The 13923-nt window shown below is 33.4% G+C and overlaps 1 long non-coding RNA gene across 1 annotated transcript; it reads left to right on the top strand.

The window, feature by feature from the left end:
- The first annotated feature begins 461 nt into the window (after positions 1 to 461).
- LOC124904594 (uncharacterized) lies at positions 462 to 12730 on the top strand. Its single transcript, XR_007067035.1, has 2 exons — positions 462 to 497; positions 12524 to 12730. It is a non-coding gene; the product is annotated as an uncharacterized LOC124904594 (long non-coding RNA).
- Positions 12731 to 13923: the final 1193 nt, after the last annotated feature.

The following is a 13923-nucleotide window of genomic DNA, read 5'->3' as shown; positions in this document are numbered from 1 at the left end:
ATAAAAATGTTTAATATTTAATTTTCTGCTCCAATAATGTTACAAAACAACCTTAAATTCTCAGTAACGTTAAACAACATATTTTTTTCTCCCAAATTTCCAGGTTATTTAAGGGCAGTTCTGCTTCATATTGCAGTTTGCCTGGGCTTTACTCCAGGCTGTGTGTTGGAGTTAGGTCTAATATATTGTATCCCTACGTATCCCAGTTAGAAAGCCTAACAGATTTCTTTGTACTTCAGTCAGCTCGATTGTATTTGTCATTCAAAAGCCAAAGCATTTATCCTAACACCAATTGCTTCTTTTTTTTTTTAGATGGAGTTTCACTCTTGTTGCCCAGGCTGTGGTGCAATGGCACGATCCTGGCTCACTGCAATTTCCGCTTCCCGGCTTCAAGGGATCCTGAGATGGGGTTTCTTCGTGTTAATCAGGCTGGTCTCAAACTCTCGACCTCAGTTGATACGTCTGCCTCAGGCTCCCAAAGTGCTGGGATTACAGGCGTAAGCCACTGCACCCAGCCTAACTGACTGCTTCTTTTGTTCTGTAGTCTTTCTCCAAAACTGTTTTTCTCTGTACTCACTTTCACCTTCTCTCACACATATATGTCCCTCATGTCCCTTTATGTCTCCAGGGTCTTCTATTTCCACGTAATCTTAATTGTTCATCATATCCTGGACTCATGAGTAATTAATCTGTTATTCTCCCTGAAAGTGCAGCCTTGTTGAATAGAATGTGTTCTTTAAAGAGCAGCTTTGTTTCTCGAGTGAGGTATTAACTTCCAGATTTAAGTGAAAATGAGTTCCAAGTTTTATGTTTCATTGTGTGTCTAAGACTGACACCGTTTATTACTGTGGCACTTACAGCTTGCTTTCAATGCCTCCAAATTCTCTATCTGAAGGGCTGGGTACCATATCTCATGTCTGAACATATTCCTCAGAATCATGCAGTACCAGCTATGTTCCTTCTTTATATTATGGCTCCTGAGGTGCCTGTTAAGCAGCCAGGTGAAATTGCCTTTTAATCAGTATAGGAACAGTCTCTTTCCTGCTGATGCTAATGCTTTTTGTAAAAAGGTCATGCTGTATTGAAGTTCTTCTTTCACGGCAAAACCACTAATGGAACTCATCTACTTACTGATGGGTGGAAGCTCTTTGTATGCCAAAGTCTTGTTTTGTTTGTGAAGAATCTCTTTCCCTCAACAGTGATGTGCTACGTTAGGTCTCAAATCATTGTTGCTTTTTAATCCAAATTTATGACAAAGATTTTCAGTTTGTATGCATAATTTCCTTCTCTGGCCTTAACCATCAGTCTGTGGACTTGCCAAGCAACAACAACAACAAGAACAACAAGTCTGAGGTCAAGAGACACTATTTAGATCTCAGAATCATTTGTTGTCCTTTATCCTTTGACAAAGTTTTGCCTTTCTTTCTTTATGAGATTTTTTCCCTAATGGTTTCTCAATCTCTTGAGAAGAAGAAAGTTCTTGACTCTTGCAGTCTTTCTCATTAGTTGAATTATACCATCAGTACAGCTTCTGATCATGTCGAGAAATCCACCATGAAGAAATAAAACATTTCTGATTACATGGATTACGTTTCTTGGAATCTTATAGGCATTAAACTTCATTCTAGGATACAACCTCATGATCTTGTCTTATTCTCAGAACAAGAAATATATTACTATATACATTACAGTATATATATATTGCAGTTTCCTTGCTATATATATATATATATATATGTATGTATTATAGTAAACCCTGTAGGCAAGCAGGAACACTTCAGAAGTCTCAATGAATCCATCATTAGCTGTTAGTAATGACAACACTGTTAGAATTATTTCAATAATCACACATTGTTATGGTCTGAATGTGCACCCCCAAATGTAATATGTTGAAATTTTAACACCTGAGGGCATAGTATTAGGAACTTGGGAGTGGAACTCTTTTTAGTGCTATTATGAATAAGATGCTTGCCTTTTCCAGCAAATGAGGACACAGCCACAAGCTGCCCTCTAGGAACTATGAAGTTAGTCTTCACCAGACACAAAATCTGCTTGATTTTGAATTTAGCCTCCCGAACTGTGGAAAATAAATTTCTGCTTTTATAAGCCACTCAATTTATGGTATTTGGTTATTGTATCCCAAACAGACTAAAACACACATTATTTACCTCCTTTTTGGACTGTCTGGGGTTGTTGCTTTAAACTTGCTTCAGTGCCTAGAACTGCTCCAAGCTCCCTGTCCTCTGGCACACACGTATAAATAATTCTGCTGGAAACCGACATGTTTCACTCAGTCATCCAAATGTATTTATAATGTTGTCCAAATATATAGCACTTGTTACAATGTTTACATTTTAGACATATTTTGAGATATGTGCCTTAACAGAGTGCTGTGATTATTATTAATATTTAGTAACTTATCTTACCAGACCTAAACTCAAAGTTTTTCACAATGGCAATGCCTTATTTGGGACTTATTTGGGACTGAATGTATGAAGATCTTACATTGAGTCCAAATTGATTTCTCTGTTAGTCTCGCAATAACATTAAAGCCACAGAATTATCTGCTGTATATTTCTTGTCTTGTTGTAGCTGATATTCTACATATTAGGACAATTAGGACATTAGTAATATCTATTAACCTTAGAATAAAATGTCATATTGAAATTGAAGAGGAATATTGGAACTTTGCTAAGAAAGAATGCTTTTCACACACAATGATATCTAAAATGGAGCCTCTGTTCCTGGAGGTATATTTTACAAAAATTCAGTGTTACTATAGGAATTCTGTACACTTCTTTCTTAGACATTTGTATTCCATCAGTGTCAGTCCTCTCTGTATTTTAAACTAAATAGGATTTCTTTTTCCATCTTTCTGTTTGACAAGTATTGTTTTGCTGAAAATTTGCTATTCATGTTCTTTTAACTCATTAGAAAGAATATTTAGGGTCTTTAGTGACAAATGACATGGTATAAATGAAAAGAAAACACTGACATTGTAATTGAGAAATACTAATTAATTAGGAGAATATTATTTAAAAACATTGTTTAAATATTTCTTTGTTTTATTATTATTATACTTTAAGTTTTAGGTTACATGTGCACAATGTGCAGGTTAGTACATATGTATACATGTGCCATGCTGGTGTGCTGCACCCATTAACTCATCATTTAGCATTAGGTATATCTCCTAATGCTAAACCCTCCCCCCTCCCCCAACCCCACAACAGTCCCCAGAGTGTGATGTTCCCCTTCCTGTGTCCATGTGTTCTCATTGTTCAATTCCCATCTATGAGTGAGAATATGTGGTGTTTGGTTTTTTGTCCTTGTGATAGTTTACTGAGAATGATGATTTCCAGTTTCATCCATGTCCCTACAAAGGACATGAACTCATCCTTTTATATGGCTGCATAGTATTCCATGGTGTATATGTGCCACATTTTCTTAATCCAGTCTACCATTGATGGACATTTGGGTTGGTTCCAAGTCTTTGCTATTGTGAATAGTGCCGCAATAAACATACGTGTGCATGTGTCTTTATAGCAGCATGATTTATAGTCCTTTGGGTATATACCCAGTAATGGGATGGCTGGGTCAAATGGTATTTCTAGTTCTAGATCCCTGATGAATCGCCACACTGACTTCCACAATGGTTGAACTAGTTTACAGTCCCACCAACAGTGTAAAAGTGTTCCTATTTCTCCACATCCTCTCCAGCCTACAATGAACTCAAACAAATTTACAAGAAATAAACAAACAACCCCATCAAAAAGTGGGCAAAGGATATGAACAGACACTTCTCAAAAGAAGACATTTATGCAGCCAAAAGACACATGAAAAAATGCTCATCATCACTGGCCATCAGAGAAATGCAAAACATTGTTTAAATATTTCTATCACAAATTGACAGCAGTACAATGCACACCACCAGCAATGTATAATTCTAGATATGAGAGGTAAAAAGATAAAACAGGTATTGCATTTTCTCCAGAAAACTTATCATTTAGTGGAAACTGGCCAATAATTTCTTAGGCCTTAGGATAATTTTACCTTTGATTCTCTAGTTAATCCAAAATATATAAAAATATTAACCAAAAGTATATATTTTTAAAATGCCTACATAATCTAATGCAGTATTTTTTGCTCTCTTCTTGAAGTGAATTAAATTCCTTATCACTGACCATAAAATTGAACTCCATTGATGATTCTTATTTAAAATAGTTAAAAGTGAATGTAAAGATCAGTTGTGGTTTTCCTTTTCTTACCCTTGTTTTTACACTTATATTTGCCTGTGTCATTCACACACTTTTAGAATTCAAAACAATAACTAGAAATGTAATCATTTGCTTTTCAAAAGCTTTTCGCATCTTTCCAAAGTTAATATAAAGTCTTACAAAACTTTTAGCTAATTCACAAAAAAATCAAACATATATAGTTGAAGCAATTTTTTTTTTTTGGTAGATTTCTTCAAACCACAGAAATTTCAGTTATGGCATGGTAGGTCTTTTGAAATGTTTCATTTTTTGTATTTGAAGATGCAGAGCAAAAGTATTTCCACTCCAACTCCCCTTTAATAAAAATTGAATGTAACAAAAAAATCAAAATCTATAGGAAAATAACCCCTTCATCTATGTTAAAACTATGAGATTTCCAGCCCAAATAAGTTATAAGAACCAGTATAGAGTCCAGGCTCGGTGGCTCACGTCTGTAATCCCGGCACTTTCGGAGGCTGAGGCCGGAGGATCATGAGTTCAGGAGATCCAGACCATCCTGGCTAACATGGTGAAACCCTGTCTCTACTAAAAATACAAAACAAATTAGCCAGGCATGGTGGTGGGTGCCTGTAGTCCCAGCTACTCAGGAGGCTGAGGCAGGAGAATGGCCCATACCTGGGAGGCGGAGTTTGCAGTGAGTGGAGATTGCACCACTGCACTCCAGCCTGGGAGATAGAGTGACACTCCATCTCACAAAAAAAAAAAAAAAAAAAAAAAAAAAAAGGACCAGTATAGAAATACTAATACAGTAAAAGGTGGACTTATATATAAAGAAAATAACCAACAGATTTTGTCTATGGCACAAACTTCTTAGAAATTTTGAGGTCTTTAGCCTTAAAGACCTAATCAAATATTTATTACTTTGAACAGTGAGCTACTGGGATATGCTGGGCTTTGAGCCTATGTACAAATCTAATTTTAGAAGTCAGGACGTGTTGTAAGCAATAGCAAAGAATATGCTAGATGATCAGCTTGGCAATTGTTGAACAAACTTCATTCAGCAGTGTGAGGACGTAATTAAAGCAGTTGACCTTCAATCTATTCACTCTCTTTATTGGCAAATGGCCGAGGAATAAGACTAGAAGGAAGATGAACTGGTTTAGTCTCTTTGTCAGCTGAACTTGTGGTGAAAGAGACTACTGATATTTTCTAGGATGAAGAGATCTTATCTCTGAAATACCCTTTGCAGGTTGCTCCTGACTGAAACAAATTCACAGATTCTTTCTTCTTGCTCAATTTTGCTGTTGATTCTTCATTTTACATTCTTTATTTCATTTATTTTATGCTTTAGCTCTAGAATTTTAGTTTGGGTTCTATTTTTTCAATCTGTCTGTGGAACTTCTCAATTGGTTTGTGTTTTGTTTTTTTTCAAGTTTTGGTTGAATTGCCTATTTATTCTCTTGTAACTAATTACTCTCCTTTAAAACAATTATTTGACATGAAAAACCTTGCAAAAATACAAAAATCTATAAACTTCTTGACAAAGAATTCAAAATAATTATTTTAAAGAATTTCTGAATTTGCAGCAAAAGTTTGCTATAGAGCAACATGAAAGCACAGAAAAGTATGAAACTCATTGATTAAGGTAAATATATAAAAAATACAGAACACTCTAATAGTGTAGTAGTGGTGTGTAAATCAGTTTTATTGCTAGTATGAAGCTTAAAATCCAAAATAATAATAATTATAGCTACAATAATTTGTTAATAGATATAGAATATTAAAAATATATAATGTGACACCAAATATATAAAATATAGTGGGCTGAGTAAAAGTATAGAGTTTTGAATATGATCAAACCTCAGTTTAAAATAGTTTGCTCCAACTACAAGATAGTATGTATAAGCTTCATGCTATTCGGAAAGCAAAAACCTATAGTAGATACCCAAAAGACAAAGAGAAATCAAAGCATGTCACTACAGAAAATCATAAAATCTCAAAGAACGACAGCAAGGGAGAAATAAAGGAACAAAAATATGTTAAAAGGCTGAAAAGCAATGAACAAAATGTCAATTGTATGTTCTTATCTATCAATAATTACCTTGAAGATAAATTCATTCTATTCTACATTCAAAAGCCAGAGTGGCTGAATGGATTACAAAAGGAGACCCAACAATATACTGCCTACAAGAGACTCACTTCAGCTTCAAGGACACATATGGTGTGAATTTAGGGGATGAGAAAATTTGATATTCCATGCAAATTAAAACAAAAAAACAACATGGATAACTATCCTTATATCAGGCAAAATATACCTTAAGATAAAACTCTAACAGGTGATAAAGATGGTCACTATATAATGATAAAGGGATGAGTTGATTAAAGGGATGAAACAATTATAAATAAATATGCACTTAACATTAGAGCACTTGAAAATGTAAAGCAAACATTAATATCTGGAGGGAGAGATACAGAGCAATCAATAATACTACAGATATAGGTAACCTTATTGACACTGTTGAAATTATCAATACTCCAATTACAACAATGGATAGATCATTTAGACAGACAATCTGTTAGGAAAAAAAAATTAGACTTGATCTGCACTTTAGACCAAACGGACCTAACAGATGTATGTTCACATTTCATCCACAGCCGGAGAACAGGTGTTCTTTTCAAGCTAACAAGAAACATCCTCTAAAATAGAGCATACTTGAAGTCACAAAATGTCTTAATACATTTAAGAAGATTGAAATTTTATCAAGTATCTCTTTTGACCACAATGGTATACAACTAGAAATCAATTAACAGGAGGAAAACTGGAAAATTCAAAAAGAAGTGAACATAACACAATTCTTAAAAACTGGTGGTTTAAAAAGGAAATAAAAAGGAAAATAAAGAAATCTTGATACAAAAATGAAAACACAATACACCAAAGCTTGTGGGATGCAGTAAGACAGTGCTAAGATGAAAATTTGAAATGACAAACACCTACATTAAAAAAAACACAAATATTTCAAATAAACAATCTATCATTAAACCTCAAGGAACTAGAAAAAAAGAAGAGCAAACTAAGCCCAAAGTTAATAGAAGAAAGAAAATAAGAAAGATCAAAGCAAAATAGAGAAATAGAGAGTAGAAAAGTAATAGAAATTGAAAGACATTCTGTGTTCATCAATGTGAGAAATTAATATTGTCAAAATGCTATTACACAAAGCAATCTACAGATTCAATGTAATCCCTATCAAAAGTCCAATGGCATTTTTCCAGAAACAGAAATAAATCCTAAAATTTGTATGAAATTACAAAAGACTATAATTACCCAAACTGATCTTGAGCAAGACGAACAAAGTAGGAGGTACCACACTTCTCACTTTCAAGTTATATTACTAAACTACAGTAATATATATATATATATATGATACTGGTATGAAAACAGTCACATAGAAGAATGGAGCAGAATAGAAAGCCTACACCAATATCGTCAAAGAATCTTCAATAACATGCCCAAAACACCTAATGGAGACAGGATAGTCTCTTCAATAAATAGCGTTGGAATTATTGGAGGCCCACATGCAAAAGAATGAAATTGGAGTGTTATGCTATGCACAGGAATAAATTGAAAATTGAAAAGGAATTTAAACATAACATCTGAAACCAAAGAATCCCTAGAAGAAAACAGGGGAAATCCTCCATAACATTGACCTTGGCATGATATTTTGGCTATGAATCCCAATGTATAGACAAGATAAACAAAAATAAACACATACAACTACATCAAACTAAAAGATTGTGGCACAGTAAATAAATAAATAAATAAATAAATAAATAAAAAGTCACCCATGGAATGGTAGAATGTACTTGAAAACAATATATCTGATAATGCATTAATATCTAAAACATATAAGAAACTCATAATCAGAAAAAAAGTAACCTGATTAAAACATGAGCAAGAGACCTGAATAGACATTTTTTCAAAGGAAGATTTACACACGGCCAACACATGAATGAAGAGGTGCACAAAATCACTAAACATGAGGGAAATATAAACTGGAATCAAAATGAGATGTCACATTACATCTTTCAAAATAGCTAATATCAAAAAGGCAAAAGATAAATAGTGTTGACAAGAATGTGTCGAAAAGAGAACACTTATAGAGTTTTGGTGGGAATGTAAATTGGTACAACCATTATGGAATACAGCATGGACACTCCTCAAATAATTAAAGATGTACCGTATGTTACAGAAATTATACTTTTAGGCATAAAAGTATATACCTGTGGGTGTGTTGGCTCACACCTGTAATCCCAGCACTTTGAGAGGTGAGGGAGGCAGATTACCTGAGGTCAGGAGTTCACGACCAGAGTCGCCAACATGGCAAAACCGCATCTCTACTAAAAAACACAGAAATTAGCCCAGCGTGGTGGTTGGCACCTGTAATCCCAGCTACTTGGGAGGCTGTGGCAGGGAGAATTGCTTGAACTTGGGAGACAGAGGTTGCCATGAGTCAAGATTGCATCACTGCACTCCAGCATGGGCATCAGAGTGAGACTCCATCTCAAAAAAAGGGTATATACCTTTTATATACTTTTCCTTTTATATACGATAGAAATAAAATCACTATCTTGAAGAGATATCTGCATTCCTGTGTTCATTGCAGCTTTATTCACAAAAACCAAAATATGGAAACAATCTAAGTGTTGACAGATGAGTAGGTATGTAAATTATGATATCTATCATCTATCTGTCTATTTATCTATCTATCTATCTACAACGGAATATTATTCCGTATTTAAAAGAATGAAATTCTGCCATTTCCAACAAAATGAACGAGCCTAGAGGATATTATGCCAAGTGAAATAAGCCAGGCAGAGAATGAAAAATACTACAGGTACAACAATGAAAACTTGCCATTATAAGATGAATAAGTTATGGAGGTCTAATGCACAACAGGGTAAAAATAGTTAGTAATAATGTATGCTTTAAGTTCACTGAGTGTAGATCTTAACTATTACCCTTTCCCAACACATGATAACTATGTGAAGACATGAATATGTTAATTAGCTTGATTGTGAAAGTCCTTTTAAAATATACTTGATGGGCGCAGGGTGAGAGGAGAGTGAGGGTCAAAACACTACCTGCTGGGGACTATGCTCACTAGCTGGGTGATGAAATCATTTGTACACCAAACCCCAGCAACATGCAATTACCCACGTAACAAACCTGCCCATGTACCTCCTGAACCTAAAATAGAAGTTGAGAAAAGAAAAAAAAAGATATCAATTTCCTATAAGGAGCTCCAGGTTTGTTCCAAACAGTAGCGAGACAAACAGATCAAGGATGAAATATATAAAATAGTAGGCAAAACGTAAACAACATGTGTAAGGCAATCAATTCTATATAACTCAGCAACTCCTAGGGTTCTTATCAAATAAAATCACTGATGTGTCATAACTTCTAAACTAAAAACAACACAAATGCCCATTCACAGTAGAATGAATAAATAAATTACTTTTGCTTCCCGCGATGAATACCACACAGCAATTAAACAATGAACTGCTGCTACACAAAACATAGATGATTCTCACAAATTTCAACTGAGTGAAACAAGTCAGACTCAAAAGATTACATACAGCAAGTTTCCATTTATATGAAATTGAGGAGTAGGGAAATCCATCGTGATAGATTTCATGATAATGATGACCATTGGTGAGTAACTGGTTGAGAAAGTGCGAGAGCCAGGGGTGTGGGAGCTGGAAATCGTCCATATCTTGCTTGATTTGGGTGGTGGTGATAGGGATATATACACTTATAAAAATTATAATGCTATATGCTTAAGATTTATGTATTTTACTATTTGTAAGATATATATTAGTTGAAAAAATGCTTCAGTGTAAAGGAAACCAGTAAAAATACGCTACCTACAATTGTAGCTTTTGTTTATCAAAAAAGCATTTGAGTAGTCTATTGATTGGTAATTAGCAAGTTTATGTTAAGCAGCCTTGTCCTGAATACTTTTTAGTATGTACCATTAAGCATTTGCCTTTCTCAACTAGGGCTAATTAAAAAAAACTCAAAACCTCACATTGTACACGTTGAATATATATAATTTTAATTTGTGAATTATACCACCATAAAACTAAAAATCTAATTAAGTTGAGTTTGAATACATTTTAGGGAAAATACGATAAAGAAAATTAGGAGCTTAAGAATATGCATAGATAAAAAATAAACTTGATAGAAATATTATTTATATATTATATATTATGTATATTTATATATATTTATATATAATATATAAATAATAATATATATATAAATAATACTATATGTATTTCAGAAAATCATATAAAAAGCTGTGCTAAAATTTTCCAGAGAGAGAGTAAATAGTTCTCCTGTAGTGGATTAAAATGAGATTAGCATTGGAGTACTAGCGTAATACAACAGATAGAGTCTGAAGTCAGATCTCAAAAATACAATATATTTGCTAAGTAATGCGAGACAAGCTATTTAAAGTTTTTGGACCTAAATATCCAGTCTGTAAGTTTGTTGGAAAAAATAAATACGCTAATAGAGAACTTAACTTACAGGGAGTGCTAAATTATTACCTGTTACTGGAAAACATAATATCAGTGACATTAAAAGCTTGAGTGTTGTAGAACAATATTTTGAAATATCATTTTTTGAAGTTATATACATATTTATATTACTTTAATAATTTGCACAACATAGGAAGGAAAGCTTGCTTTGCACAGGCAACATTTTTGCCAAATAATCTTTAAATCATCATGAATTCTCAATTAGATTAACAATAATAAAATTTTATTGTAGAAGACTATTTTTTCATTAATATAGTTGTACATGCACATAGGGTAAATGTAATATTTTGTTACTTGCCTAAGCTTTATAATGATCAAATCAAAGTAACCAGGGTGTCCATAATCTCAAGTATTATTTCCATATGTTAAGAACATTTCAAGTCCTTTAGCTATTTTGGAATATACAATACATTGCTGTTTATATGTAGTCACCTTACTCTGCTATGAAATATTAGAACATATGTCTTCCAAGTAATTGTATGTTTGGACCTATTAACAAACTTTTCTTTATTCCTCCCACCCAGAGAAACTTTCCAGCCTCTGGTATCTATCTATAATTCTATTCTCTACCTCCATGAGATCAATATTTTTAGTTTTCATGTAAGAATAAGGATATGTGATACTTGTTTTTCTGTGCCTGGCTTATTTCACCCAACACAATGACTTCCAGTTCCATCCATCTTGCTGTAAATGATAAAATCTCATTCTTTTTTATGGACAAAAAGTATTCTACTGTGTATATATATACCATGTTGTTTTTATTCATTCATCCATTGATGGACAGAGGTTGATTTCATATCTTTGCTATTGTGAATATTGCAATAAATATGAGAGTGTGGTTATCTCTTTGATATACTCATTTATTTACCTTTGGACAAATAGCTAGTAATAAATAGCTTGCACCTCTGGTCTCAGCTACTTGGGAGACTAAAGCAAGGGGATCACTTGAGCCCCCGAGGTTGAGGTTGCAGTGAGCCATGATCACTCCACTGCATTCTAGCTTGGTTGACAGAGTAAGAACCTCTCCCTCCTAAAAAAGTCCTTAAGAAATGTGTTGATGCCTGGTTCCCTTGGTCAGAATTTTCATTTGATGTGTTGAGAGTGTAGCACAGATGTTGGAATGAACCTCTCAAGCTGATTTTAATGTGCAACCAAGTTTGAGAACCACCAAGGAAGAGTTTTTATGAATTAAGATTCCTATACTCTATCCTAGAACTAATACAACTGAATCTCTGGGAATGGAGTATCAGAATCAGATTTGAAAAGGTTTCCTTAGTAATTCTAAGGACTGAGCAGTTTGGATACTCGTTTGTTAGAGTAAAATGGTTAGGTACCTAGTATCAACATAGGCACCCAACCTGATATTAATAACTAGGAAAATAAAGGGTTGGCGCCTCTGTGTTTCTTTGTTGAAAAATCTGATACTATTCTTAGTTCTATGAAAACAATTGAAAATTTGGTTATTATCACCTTAAAAGTACAAAACCTATAGATATTGAAAATGTAATTATTTTTCTATAGGCATAGTTGAAATGATTTTGTAAATGTTATAAATCAGTTTCTTTATAAGCAGTTCATTTACATAAATTTTGTTAAACTGACATGATTCACTAATTTTCTAAATATAAATGGTTCAGCTCTCAGTTATTTTTAAACTAATGACCTGTGTTATACTTACTATTTTTAATGGGCTTTTATGATGTTTTTAGGTTTCTTTGGATTCCCATGTCCTTCAAGTGCTTTGCAACTTTGAGAAGAAGAAATTGACCACCTGGACTATGGAACTGTGCATAACAGCTTTGAAAGTGTATTTAAAAATTAAATCCATACGCCTTTAAATCAGTAAATTGGAAATATATTACATGTATTGTAATGACTTTCCTCAGATATAATAAATTGTTTTCTTTCCAATGGAATAGTGTTTGCATTTTTTGTTTACCTGGTTTAAGATGTGCAGCAGAACATAACTAGATGATTACATAATTTCTTTTTAAGGCAATTTTATAATATATTTTATTTATGATTATAAAAACTGCCTTTAAAAATTCTTACATGGATATCAATGCAGTTTCACTTTTTTTATTGTAATCTTTTTTATAATTATTTTATACTTGTCTGGCATTGAGTTTTATTGGGCTTTTGGTTTTTTGGAAGTAGGGTATTTATCCCAATTTAGAAAATTTGTATCCTTGCCATAATACAGTCTTCTATTTTTGTACCCCCAAATCTTTCATCTGTCAGAACATCACTCAAAGGTGAAAATATTTCCCACATAAAATTATTCTGTTCCTTTAATGAAATGAGTTTCAGCTGTATATAAGTAGGAAAACTTCCTTTTGTTCTATTTGATTCCTTTTTACGGATACTTTCTTGAGGCTGTGATTACACCTTTACCTTAGAGGCACTGCCCAAAAAGACTCAGCTCTTCTGTAAAAATGCTGTTATGAATCATAGCTTCTTAACTTTTACAACATAGTGAGGTAGGGAAAGTAAGAACACTAGAGATAGGAATTAGATCTTGTAGGAAAATAATTATAAGATATCATGAAATATTTTGGAGTTTTATTAACATACTATAAACTTGCATCAATAATGCTTTAAATTTCTACCTCTCTGTAAGTCACACTGAAGTAGAAACTTTGTTTTCTAGGTTCGTATTTATGTGGATGCTGTAATTAATCATATGTGTGGTAACGCTGTGAGTGCAGGAACAAGCAGTACCTGTGGAAGTTACTTCAACCCTGGAAGTAGGGACTTTCCAGCAGTCCCATATTCTGGATGGGATTTCAATGATGGTAAATGTAAAACTGGAAGTGGAGATATCGAGAACTACAATGATGCTACTCAGGTAATTTTTTTACGAGAGTGATCTGAATAAAAGAGTAATATATGCCTTTTCTTGTAGACATGTAGCTAATTGAATTTCATTTAAAATAGGAATTTAGATCTCTTAGGGACAGAAGTTAACAAGTTTGACTACTTTAAGAAACTCAAATCCATATTTAAGAACTTTCAAATATTGATTTAAGATTTTTAATCAATATTTAGAGTCACAGATTTTACCTAAATTTTCAAAACCTACAGCACCACCTCATGAGATAGGATTTTT

This window comes from Homo sapiens, chromosome 1, assembly GCF_000001405.40.
Source record: "Homo sapiens chromosome 1, GRCh38.p14 Primary Assembly".
NCBI lineage: Eukaryota > Metazoa > Chordata > Mammalia > Primates > Hominidae > Homo > Homo sapiens.
The sequence above is the reverse complement of the archived record's forward strand: the minus strand, read 5'-3'. Positions and strand labels throughout refer to the sequence as shown.